The sequence below is a fragment of the Homo sapiens genome, chromosome 2 (genome assembly GCF_000001405.40).
Source record: "Homo sapiens chromosome 2, GRCh38.p14 Primary Assembly".
NCBI lineage: Eukaryota > Metazoa > Chordata > Mammalia > Primates > Hominidae > Homo > Homo sapiens.
In genome coordinates, this window is record NC_000002.12 from 80,551,233 (window position 1) to 80,564,736 (window position 13,504).

Sequence of the window (13,504 nt, forward strand, 5' to 3'; positions counted from 1 at the left end):
ATGTGCTGTCTTCAGTCTTCGTTGTTCCATTTATAGAGCACAGGCAGAGTAGATTTAGCATAACTCTTAGGGCCCTGGGATTTTCAAAGTGGTAAATGAGCATTTGGTTCAACCTAAAAATCAACTGTATTAGCCACTAATAAGAGACTCAGCCTGTCCTTTGAAGCCAGCTATGAAAGTTGTAAATGGCACCGTCTTCCAGTAGAAGGCTGTCTTGTCAACATTGAAAACTTGTTTGCCCCCTTAATCAATGATCTTAGCTAGATCTTTAGGATAACTTGGCACAGGTTCTATCTACATCAGCACTTGCTGGTTTACCTTGCACTTTTATGTTATGGAGATGACTTCTTTCTTAAACATCATGAACCAACCTCTGCTAGCTTCCAGCTTTTCTTCTGCAGCTTCCTTACCTCTCTCAGCCTTCATAGAATTAAAGAGCATTAGGATCTTGGTCAAGATTGGGCTTTGGCTTAAAGGAATGCTGTGGCCGATATGATCTTCTATTTAGACCACTCAAACTTTCTCCATATTAGCAATAAGGCTGCTTCATTTTCTTATCTGGGTGTTCATTGGAGTAGCACTTTTAATTTCTTTCAAGAACTTTTTCTTGTACTTACAAGTTGGCTGTTTGGCCTCTCTTGACTTGTGACATGTCTTCCTCACTAAGCTTAATCATTTCTAGCTTTTGATTTCAAGTGAGAAATGTGTGACCCTTCCTTTCACTTGAATACTTAAAGGTCATTGTAGGGTTGTTAATAGGCCTAATTTTAATATTGTTGCGTCTCAGGGAATAAGAAGCTTGAGAAGAGGGAGAGAGATGGCAAACGGCCGTCTTGGTGGAGCAGGCGGAACACGCCCGACATTTATTGTTTGCCTTCTTAAGTGAACATGGTTCCTGATGCCCCAAAACAATTGCAATAGTGACAAAGATCACTGATCACAGATCATCAAAACGATAATGAAAAAATTTTGAAATATTGCAACAATTGCAAAACTGTCATACAGAGACAGGAAATGAGCACATGCTGTTGGAACAATGGCACCAACAGACTTGCTTGACGCAGAGTTGCAACAAACCTTCAATTTGTATTTGGGGGGGAAGAAAAAAAAACCCACCAATCTGTGATACACAATAAAACAAGACATGCCTGTAGATTGTTTTTAATAAAGTACAAATCTATTTGAAAACATTCTGAACCGTAGTAGCTTTTACATGTCTGCCATCCATCAATATAACTACTATCATGAAGAAACTGTGACTCATTTTTTCATAAAAAGGGACCTGAATTGGAGAAGGTTGAAAAACACTGAGTAAACTGTAATTATATGTTGCTTGACGACAGGCATATGTTCTGGGAAATGCATCGTTGGGCAATTTCATCACTGTGTGAACATCACATACTGTATTTACACACCTAGATGGTATTGCTTACTGCATACCTACACTACATGGTATAACCTATTACTCTTAGGCTACAAACTTGTACAGCACGTTACTGTACTGAATACTGTAAGCAATTGGAATACAATAGTAAGTTTTGTGTATCTAAACATGTATAAATATTTTAAAAGTACGGTAAAAATATGACATAATCTTATGGGACTACCTTTAAGTATGTGGTCTGTTATTGACTGAAATGATTTATGTTGCATGACTATATCTTAAAATTTTAAAAATTTATTTATAAAAATTAGTCAATTAGGCCGGGCCTAGTGGGTCATGCCTGTAATCCCAGCACTTTGGGAGGCCAAGGCAGGCAGATCATTTGAGGTCAGGAGTTCAAGAGCAGCTTGACCAACATGGTGAAACCCTGTCTTTACTAAAAAGACAAAAAAAAAAAAAAATCCAGGTGTGATGGTGCATGCCTGTAATCCCATCTACTTGGGAGGCTGAGGCAGGAGAATCTCCTGAACTTGGCAGACTGAGGTTGTGGTGAGCTGGGATTGCGTCACTGCACTCCAGCCTGGGCGACAGAGGGAGACTCCGTCTCAAAAAAAAAAATAAAATAAAATAAAATAAAATTAGTCAATTAGTAAATTATAAAACTAATACTTTGTACAACATTATTAACCTGACTATGTAACAGATTTGCTGATGATTTGAGTAATTAATAGCAATGTTTTTGTTATGGATTTCTAGCCTGTGCTGGTTTATTTTAAATAGGTATAATAATACCTATAAAAACATATTTCTTGCCTCTTAAATTAGTTGCATATTTCTACTTTTGGATAGTCCTATTAAAAATACGTTTTCATTTTAACATATTGGGTCATGAATGGGTTTCTTAGAATTTAAAAACAAACTTATTAACTCCAGAAGGATTAGTATCTAATATAATTAACAGACGTCTCACTATTTTTTTCTCAACTCCAAAGTACCGTTTCTAAACTCTGCACTGAAACTTTGTCCATTCTTGTATTACTGTTATACAAAGAAAATAGCAGCCGGATGTGTGATTTTGACACAAATCCTTTTCTAGTTACTTACTCTCAAGGGCCAGGACACATTTTAATTGTCTTAAGAAATTCTACAGGACAGAAAGAGAAGCTTCTTTTAATCAAAGTTTTACATTTAGAATTCTCTGTCAATATTCATTTGAGTAAACATTTCTCTCAGATGTCCTTTTAGGTATATACTGTGTTCACATGTTTAATCATGTTTTCATTAAAATGTCATGTCTCAAGAAAATGTCATGATTTGGGAAGTACTACTTTTTGTGAGTTTTAGAAATCGAAATACTAAAATTTAAACGTTTCATTATTTTTCTATTCTAATTTATAGTTGAAATTAAAGAAATGGAGAATGTAGAAATCAGCAATTTATAATGGTTTGAGTGAAGAAATCACACTGTATGAGGTCAAAATGGATGTTCTTTATGAAAAGTCAGTTATAACTTGCAATTTTCTATCCTGTGTCCTAAAAATATAAATTTTCTTTCTAAGTGCTTAATTTAGTAAAAGTAGGGGAGATCGGTAGTGGAGACTAGGATTTGCTGGATACTCTCTTTCTTTCTTTAGGAAATTTAAAATCAGAACTAGCCCTAAAAGCTTCTTAAAGAGGTAATATTTTATTTTAACTATTTATGAACTATTGGTTGGATTTGGCAGTTATAATTTTAAAATATTAACAGGTTACTTAAGACTTTAAAAATATATTTATCAAAAGCACATATTTTTATGTGTTCATGTCTTGGTGTGTTTTGGAGAATACTGTAAACTGTGTTGCTTATAATCAATAGAAATTTATGTCTCATGGTTCTGGAGGCTGGGAAGTCCAAGACAAAGGACTCTGCTTTCTCATAGTCTTCTCACTGGAACCTTGATAGGAAGAGGATAGAAAGAGGGTAGAAAGAGGGAGGGATCTCTGAGGTCTCTTTTATAAGGACACTAATTCCATTCCTTAAGATTCTGCCCTCATAACACAATCACCTCCTAAAGTCTGCACCTCTTAATACTACCCCTTTGGGAGTTAGAATTTTAACATATGAATTTTAAGGGAATAAAAACATGCAGTTTATTAGTTGGTGTGTGTGCATGTATGTGTGTGTTCAGCTTATTTACAAAGAGCACTAAACTTTTTGAACATTTCCTTAGAATTCTGCTTCTAAAGAATGCACAAGGAATAGAATTACAGATCTCACACTGGACATGAAAAATACAAAATTACACACTTGTTAAAACTGCAAGGGAATAAATAATGTGTTTTCTCTATGCCATTAGAGAGTGAAGCCTCCCCTCTATGCCTGCTTGATTTCTACTTTGGGCAATCATATGAAAGTTATGCAGATCTTGACTATAATCTGAGGGAACCAGCCACAAGACTGGATTGTATTTTAATTGTGGGAAACTGATCGTCTTCACCTAATCAGTTTTCCCATTGCATATACCGTGTGCATGACATAATTTTAAAAGACCAACTGCGTGATATTTATTTTTCCTCAAATGTTTTCGTAATGAAAACATGATTAAAGAAACATGTGTCCAAAGCTTTGACTCTGGTTTTATTTATGGACATTTATACTTGGTCAGATTGACTTCATGTTGGCTGCTACAACTTCTAAAAGGCCCTGTCGTGTGTAAGTATCAAACTTCAAAACAAAGGAAGGGATATTCTTTAAGTCAGTGGTCCTCAGAATGTTGTCTTCAAACCAGTGGCATTAGCATCACCTGGGAACTTGACAGAAACTCAATTTCTTGGGCTCTACCCCAGACTTACTGAATTGGAAACTCTAGGAGTGGCACCTAGCGATCTATGTGATGCTACCAGCCCTCTGGCTGATGCTCAGGTTTGAGAACCACTGTTGTAATTATAAACTATGTCCTTTACATACAATTTTAGTATTATTAGGCATGCATTGAGATGTGTCCAAGGCAAGGGCTCATGAGAGTTGAATCAATTTTAATTGGTTAAGTTCTGAGTTATGTAAAGTCATCTAAATGTGTATGTGTCCTCTCCATAGAAAATCACATCTTGGAGGATGTGAACAAGTGTGTGATAGCCCTCCAAGAGGGCGATGTGGACACTCTGGACCGGACTGCAGGGGCCATCAGGGGCCGGGCAGCTCGAGTCATACACATCATCAATGCTGAGATGGAGAACTATGAAGCTGGGGTTTATACTGAGAAGGTGTTGGAAGCTACAAAATTGCTTTCTGAAACAGGTAAGCATGGGTATTGGGTCTGGCCAAAATGTTAATGCCTTGATTAGTTTCTATAACTGAATAAATCTGTTTCATTGATTTCTGTAGGCCTTTATGCTTCTAAATTGCACATAATTGTGGAATGGGTGGAATACTTGAGTGTTCTCTTTGTTTTTTGAGTTTGAATTTGAATAATATTAGGAGAATGACAGTTGTACTGCTTTGCATGCATATATTTCTTTATACTTTTCATATAGATCATTTGATTCTCACAAACAATAAAATTTTTCTGCTTACTTAATTATCTCCAATTATGGATGAGATAATTTTATGACTTGAGAAAATTATGGTTTGAATTGGCTAAGAGACTGGAATGAGGTCACAAGGTTAGAAAATAGTGCAGATGTGATAAGAACTTGGAATCTGTAATTTAACCTTTTCTTCATTTATTGCTTGAGAGGATAGGACCTTAAGGAAGAACTCTGAACCAGCCAGTGGAAAGCATAAAGGTTTTAGATAGTGAGTGGATATGACGTGCTCAAAGAAAGGTGGTGGCTGCTGACAAAGAGTTAGGCTTTCAGCATATTCCCTTTCTTTCTAGGAAAGCTTTACATGCCCTTCTTCAGGGGCATGTGGCTGCTCACAGGACTCACTGCTATGGTCAGGTATGGTTACTTATGGGAGCTTGTCAGAGCTTGCAGATGCATTGGGGTAAAAAAAAATGCTTCCACTGAATTAGAACAATCTACAACTCTGGAGAATATATAAGACTGGCCTGTTTTTAGTAGTTCTCCCCTCTTGACCAATGTCTTTTGGCTTCCTCAGGCCTTGATTTATATATATGAGATAAGATATATAGTCCAAGGAATGAGAGGAAACTAGGGAATAGAAAAAGAGAATGTAAGTCCACATTGGATAAGGTTGTTAATGAATAATGAATTGGTGCATATATATGCACAGAAGGGCCTCTCCCCTCAAACCCTAAGGGGGACCTTCATAGGTTTGCCTATGAGCTTTGGATGCCACCAGGCATTTTTAAAATAGCCATCTCTGAAAGGTCAGATATAGCCATGTTCCAAGTTCTGCATGATGAGATGTGTTGGTAGAAATATGTTGCTTTTTATGGGGAAAAGATTATTTACAAAGAGTTCTGTAGGTATTTGTTAGCCTGGAATAGCAAGTAAAACACAATACATAAACACAGGTATTGGTCATTCTCTTTAAAATATAAGCAGAAACAGAATAGTGTGGTATCATGTTATAAAGAGCACATCTAGAGACTGTTGCCCTTGGAACATCCTTACAGACTTAGACTTAGACATAATAACAAAAATAATGACAAGATATGACTGCATTTGAATTAGCTGAGAGTCAGCACTGCTTTCTTTCACATAAGCTTGCCCTTTGCATTCAATTGAGCAACACAAAGCAAGCCATACAGTATTTCTTTCCTCACTTGGAAGAGTTATAAAAAGGTATTTTTTTCCCTAATTCTCCAAATTAAGGACTTTTTCATTAGTAACCTTTAGGGAGACCATCTCACATTTCTGTGGCTTACAGTTCCCAGCCCATCAGCTCTATTCTTGTACAAAGTCTCAGCTTCATGTGAGATATCTGACAGAGTAACACTCACCTGGGTCTGTCACTAGATAAATAATACCAGAGAAGTGTTGAAGACCTAGAGACAGGACTCAGTTCCTGCCCACTCATGACTGGTGGGAAGGACACTTGTGGCAGATGAAAGATACAGAGCATATTGCCAATTTTCATGTGACTTTCTACCCACAGATAACTCAGGCACTGTTCAAATGACATTTTAGAACTTTTTCTTATTGTATCTTGGACTGCTTTGACAACAGGAGTGCCACTTACTAGGTCAAAATCTAAAGGCAAGGACAATTGCTTAGTTGATTGTAATATTTTAACATAATTTTCACCCAAAGTCTTGATATGTAAATAATGTTCTGGTTGATTTTTCTACTTTTAAAAAAACAAATAGTCGTTCATCCTGGATTGTTGTTGCTAATCAAGATTTTTGCTCTTACTTGTTCTGAGTTTTTACAATTTTTATCCTGGCTTGCAATGATTGAGCACTCTGGGGGCTTAACTAAAGGCACCTTTCTTATTTTGATGCCCATATCCAATTCCTAATTGAATACGGTAGATGAGCAGGACATTTAAATTCTACTTTTCAGGATTTATTGAAGTTAACTAGGAAAGTAACCAGGCAGAGACTGAAATAGACAGCTTATATATAACTTTAATTGAAAATATAGGAATAAGTGTCAAGGAAAAGTGGGTGTCAGTGGACTAAGAGCTAGAATACAAAGGTATACAATTTCTTTGGTATTTGTCCCCAATTGTTCTTCTCTTTCTGAAACAGGAATAATGTTACTATTTTGTGAATAACTAGAGAGGTTGCCAAAGAAATGAAAGAAAAAAACTTCAGCTATTAACTCACTGACTGCTAATGAGAATTGCTGGGGAATGTGCTTGCATAAAGTAGACACGTGGAGTTTGAGGATGACCACAGGATCAGTTCTGTAATTATGGTTGTACAAAGTTTTGTTGGTGTGTGTGTGTGTGTATATATGTGTGTGTGTGTGTGTGTGTGTATATATATATGTTGTCTAAAGTGATTTACTTCTAATGTCATTGTATGTCTGTGCTAAGGAGACATAAGATATATGTCCTCAAAATAGAAACCCTGTGCATGTCCCTGATGCCAAATTATCTACCTTTTGCTTAGTTTTGTTTCTGACTTAAACAATTTTAGAGCCATGTTGAATTGGCCACTTTTCTATGTGAATCTATCAAATTTTGTCATGAGAGTACATTGTAGGGTGAGAGAGGGTGGTAGTGGGAAAAAAGGGAAAAATGCCAAGAGGAAAGATGAGGAGAAAGAAGACAAAATGTCATGGTTTTTGTTGTTGTTGTTGTTGCCACACCTACTAGGTTCTGCCCATTGATTTTTTTGTTTGATATTTTATTTTTAAAAAATTCTGTGCCATTAGATTCAAGACCTTGAGTCAGACATGCTCAACCTCTGTACTGTTGACACTTTGGTCTGAACAGTTGTTTCTTGGGGAGAGTTCTGGGGACTGTTTTGTCCATTATGGGATGCTTAGAAGCATCCCTGGACTCCACCTGCTAAATGTTTGTAGCATCTCTTTCTTCTACATGCCAAGTTGTAACCACCAAGATGTCTCTAGACATTGCCAGATATCCTTGAAGGAAGTGGGTCCTGGTGGGCAAAATAATGTGCACTGAGCATTACTGCCCTAAAGTAAAGAAATAACCCAAAATAGGGACAAGTTCAAACAGGACAGATTGGAGCCCATGTACTGTGGACATAGTGAAAAGGGAGTGGGGTTGGGAGTATATTACAAAGAAGAATCTGTAAAAGGGCAGAATAATCAAACAGCCTTGACTGAACTGGATGTTGCTGCTGAAGGTGTTTACACACAGGCAAACCCCTGTGTAGACAGATGAATGGCTGCATGGGTAGGTCACTGTAGGGAGACTCCCACTTTACCACTTGGCTGCCCTCGCTGAGTGGCTGGAAAATTGAGAGGTGCCCAAAGAGTGATAACACATCTGTGGTTTATTTTCCATGAATTATTTTCTTTCCTTAGTAAAGACAGTGCTTTGCTTAAGAGTGCTTCTTGTCTTGATATGAATGCTGAATTAAATTTAAGAAAATTTTGTAGATTATTAGTATGCTAAGAATTATAGGGTAGCATTATGTACAAATTTACCTGTTCATTTTCTATAAAACAATCTAGGCTGATGAAAACACAATAAATTGGATCTACAGCAGACCCATTAAATACTTACATGGCATATTTGATGGGCTCTTCAATAAAACCTGAATTATAACAAATTGCCAAACAGCTTAGTAGTAAGTACACGCTTGACCAGACCCATCTTCATAGATCTCGTTTACAAAGTTGGGTTGCTGCAGGAGGCTGAGGAGGGGTGAAAGCACATTCAGCGATATCATATTTATATATATATATACACACACATACAGTAGCTCATTCTTCACTGAATGGATTATATTGAAATGTCATTTTTGTAAATTTGATAGCTGACTCAAGTTTGTGGCCATGTGAGCGTGACTAGGTTAAAAGATCTGTGAGATTCTGCCAGATATTTTTTCTTCAGAGGAAACAATAGACCAAAAAAAAAAAAAAAAAAGAAAAAAGCATATTTTAAAAAGGGTTCTATGTTATGGAGCACTCTGTATGCAGAGATTAAAATTCCATTATTTTGGAAAATACGTGGGCCAAGCAGATGGTATAATTTTTACTTCCATGCTCTATAACCTAAAGTTTTATACGAATGGGAAGGTTTTTCGTTTTACAACATTTCTATATATTTTTGCTTAGAAAGTATAAAAGGACCAACAAATACAAAGCATCCAAACTGGAAATCTTATTGAGAGGGTACATTTGGGCCAGGACAATGCAGTAGAATGAATCCAAGGTTAGGATTCAGAAGAACTGTTATTTGACTGCTACCAACTAACTGTGACCTTAAACAAATCAGTTAGTGCCTCTGGGACTTGGGTTTTTTCCTGTATTGCCCAATGTTTTGTCATTCAAGAATGGGTCGGTATTAATTGCGTAATATATGCATCACTGTTTCTGGCTTCCTGGTGACTGCACTTGGCATAAGCAATTATTGCCCATGAGTCCCCTGTATAAACCCTCTGCACCATCTGGACGAGGGCCTTCATTATTCTCCAGGCAAAACATATCCATGCTGCTCCCTCTGTCCTCCCTGCAACGTTCTTCATCTCCTCCTCCTCCTGCTTTACATCTGTTTATTGAGATTCACCTTTAAAATATAGCTCTAGTCTCAGTTGGAGACCACAGAAAACTATTAGTCTTTTGACATTTAGTATGGTATGTCCTCTTCAGTGTAAATGACTGCTTACAACAGGATTGTCTGTTTTTAGAGGCAAGTGTTTCTATAGGTACCCACAGCCTAGAATGGTGTTTTCAGTAACACATTTAATACGTAAGTATTGATTAAATGAATACCAAAAATGAGAACTTTACACTTTGTCTTTTTTTTCTGTAGAAAATATGTCTACCAGCAGCCTCAGGTTTGCAGCTCAAGACCAATTTCTGTGTATCAATGGGAAATCATCTGATTGGCTTTCTGGCCTATGCTTCCTTCAGTTGGACTGATTTCTGTTGCTAGTGGAATAGAGTTTTATGATTGGACAGGTCTGAGTGACCTGCCTATCTCTCTGGCTGGAATATGGGGGACTGGAGTATGAGATTGATGTCAGAAGGAGGTGGTAGGGGCAGCTTATTGGGAAGACAAACTATTAAGTATTAGAGATAGGAAGGACTATCCACAGTCTAAGTTACTTCGGCATGACTAATTTTAAGTCGGAAGTGTAGGAAGAATGAGAAAGAAGCCTCATCCAGTAAAGAGCCCTTAAATAGATAACGTATAATTTGTCTCAATGTCTTTTTTATATGACTAAAACCTATATACTCTAAGTATTGTAGAAATCTGATAAGTTTTTGAAGATCTGTATAATTTTTCCTAAAAGCAAATGCAAGGTTTTGGGGCTCAGAAAACAAACGTTACTTTGCACAGTAAGCATGTCAGTTTCCCATGTTCCATTCCCGCTCTTGGAGCAATGTGATGAGGGCAGATGGATTCTGCACATACAGTGGAGGTCTGTGCTACAGGTGGGGAACCACACCATTATGAATCTAGGAGCTTATTTAGAAATTGGTGCTCCTCCTGAGGGCAGGAAAGAAACACTTCCTCTCTCTTTTTTTGAGATGAAGTTTTGTTCTTGTTGCCCAGGCTGGAGTGCAATGGCAGTCTCTGCTCACTGCAACCTCTGCCTCCTGGGTTCAAGTGATTCTATTGCCTCAGCTTCCCAAGTAGCTGTGATTACAGGCGGTCGCCACCACGCCTGGCTAATTTTTTTTTTTTTTTTTTTTGTATTTTCAGTAGAGATGGGGTTTCACCATGTTGGCCAGGCTGATCTCAAACCCCTGACCTCAGGTAATCTGCCTACCTCGGCCTCTCAAAGTGCTGGGATTACAGGCATGAGCCACCGCGCCTGGCCACGTTTTTTATGTAAACAAATTCTGTCCAGGAGGTAGCCAAGTGGTTAAAAACTTTTGGAATATAAATGCATGGTTCCTAGTTTTATCCCTCTTTTGAAATGTAAACATATCTGGAGAAGCTGTCTATAAATCTCTCTCCAGGTTATTTCACTATCTTAGGACTGTTAACCTTTGAACCAGGTTACCAGTATTTTCATTCAGACAGGGTTGACCATGCAGAAACATGAAAATATTTCCTATACACTGGTGTGTTTGTGAATGATGTGTTCTCCCACAATTCAGACATGGTCAGCTCTCTCAGCATAAGAGGCTGAAGAACCACCTCAGAAAATACGACCATAACCAGATAGCTTACAATATAGAAATGTAAATGATTCCTCCTCAAAAGAAAAGTTGCTTGAACTCTCTCATAAGATAAATGCAAATTAAAAACTACGCTGAGAAACCATTACCCATCAGAATGGCAAAAATCCAAAAGTTCTATAATATATATACTCTGTTAAGGATTAGGAAAAGTCATCTTATATTTTGCTTGTAGATGTGCAAAATGGAGGAAATTTGACATCTTCTGTCAACAGAACATATTTAACATTTGGAAAGCAATCTCACTTTTAAAAATCTGTTCTTCAGATGTACTGGCAAAAAATATAAAAACGTATGCACAAGATTATTTATTACAAGACTGTAGGCTAGAAACAACACAAATATCTAGCTTTAGGGCACTGGTTGAATAAATTATGGTCTAATCACACAGTGGAGTAGTATGCAGCTATAAAACAGAATGGGGAATAACTATACAATCTCTGACTATATTTTTAGGTTAAAAAATGAGGTGGAAAAAGTATGTATAACATGTTCCATTTATTTTCAAAAAAGGTAAATTATATAACACAGGAAGAGAAAGTAAGATACAAAATTTTATTCTAACAATAAAACCCTTAACGTGAAGGTGGAGATAGGGTACGGTAAACATAGGAAGATTCACAACTGCATGTGTGTATAGGCCATAAATTTGGGGTGACACAGCAGAACAAACAGCACTTCTCTAGTGCCTGTTTGTCAAAGTACAACCAAAAAAAAAAAAAAGAAAGACATGAATCTCCAGTTCTTCATGGATTCAGAATCCTGGGAACTGGAGAGTACATGTGCTTCTTTGTCACTTCAAGGACATCAGAGACCAGCATCTGTGGTAATGGCAGTGTAGTAAATTAGGGGCCTACATATTGTGTCTAGCAGAGTCAGTGCTGGTGTCCACTGGAATTGGTGGTCTGGATGCTTTAATTGTGCACAACTGAGGCTGTAGTAATGTCCTGTCACCCAGATTCTCTGACGGAGGGGAAACTGCCACATCAGTGATAGGTGTTTGAATCAGAGGAAGAATATGCTAACAGCCACTCATTTGGAAGCACATGTGGTACATCCTTGGAGTATTCCAGAAATAGTTTTGGTAATGAAAAAATGGGAACCTTTGCATGTAGCCGGAGGGCCTGAAATAACAGGTGAACAAAAGAACAACAGAAGTACTGTATATGGCCAGAGTAGTCTCCAGATGACCTCCTTGCCAAATTTTAAATTTGTTTTGTAGAGACAGGTCTTGCTATACTGGCTAGAGTGGTCTCCAACTCCTAGCCTCATGTGATTCTCCCCACCTCAGTCTCCCAAAATGCTGGGATTACAGGCATGAGCCCATCCCACTTGGCTCCTGGTTTGCCTTTCTGTATTTTACCTTTCCTCTAATTCTACCTGATTTCTTCCTTGTCAGTGAAGTCCCCTTTCTAACCAGACCAGAGAAGCCCACTCTTCGGTGTACCTGTTACTCTTATTATCTGTGTTACTCATTTGGAACCTACCATATACTGCCAAGTATTTCATACTCCTTGTTACCCACTTTTCTACTTACGTTTATATCTGTCCTAGTGTTTATATCTGTCTTCTGTCCATCTTAGTACCTGAGGCATGTGTGTATGTATTGACTTTTTGCATGTTTTTGTTAAATTTTAACCTCTTAAGATCTGAGTCTACCTCTCCATTACCTGCAGCTTTAACTAAGAGTTGAAACTCAAAGATGTCATTAATATAAATGAGTAACATAATGACACAGTTACCTTATTCTGGGGGATTAAACCCTCCTTAAATCGCATACTTAATGATCAAGATAAGAATCTTTTAAGTTATGTGCAATAAATTTTTAGCAAGCACTTTATTACATCTTAATGCAATCTAAGTATTTAAACATCACAGATGCCAAATTAGACTGTATTTATTAAGCTAGGTTTTGACAAACACTAAGCTAAATAAGGCATCATGCTCATGCTCAATACTTTATTCGTTCCTTAAGTTTCAGAATTAAATGTGCCATCCTTTTAAGTTATAAACCATTTGTGATTATTTTTGAAATGCTTATTTTAAAATAGAAGAAAACTTTCCAAGCAAGCATTTTCTTTCCTCAGGAAAAGGAATTTGTGTCTAGACAAGAGCAGATGGATGCTCCCTGATTCTTTTAGGGTAGTTGTCGTGAATGGAATTTAGAGAGTTTTTTTTTTTTTTTTTACCCCCTCCTTCTAGGCAGTCCTTCTTCATCTTTTATCAAACAATTCATCTCATGGGTTATGTATTGCCTTCTGGAACTTAAATTTGATTTATGTTTGAAATATACATTTATAATTTTCCCAACATGAATTTATGGAAATGGCAGCCTTTAGAAACTCCCACAGAGGTAACAGATGATTGACTCGGATGAAAGAAAGTCCAAGAATGTAT

General features: G+C 37.2%; 1 protein-coding gene across 15 annotated transcripts in view; it reads left to right on the forward strand.

The window, feature by feature from the left end:
- The window catches only part of CTNNA2 (catenin alpha 2), a 1,463,404-nt gene that overhangs the window by 1,365,856 nt on the left and 84,044 nt on the right, over positions 1 to 13,504 (forward strand). For all 15 annotated transcript variants that reach the window (NM_001399737.1, XM_024452714.2, XM_011532556.3 and 12 more), the window contains one exon: positions 4,461 to 4,661. In NM_001399737.1, the coding sequence (NP_001386666.1) occupies positions 4,461 to 4,661 (201 nt within the window). The remainder of the gene's footprint in view (positions 1 to 4,460; positions 4,662 to 13,504) is intronic.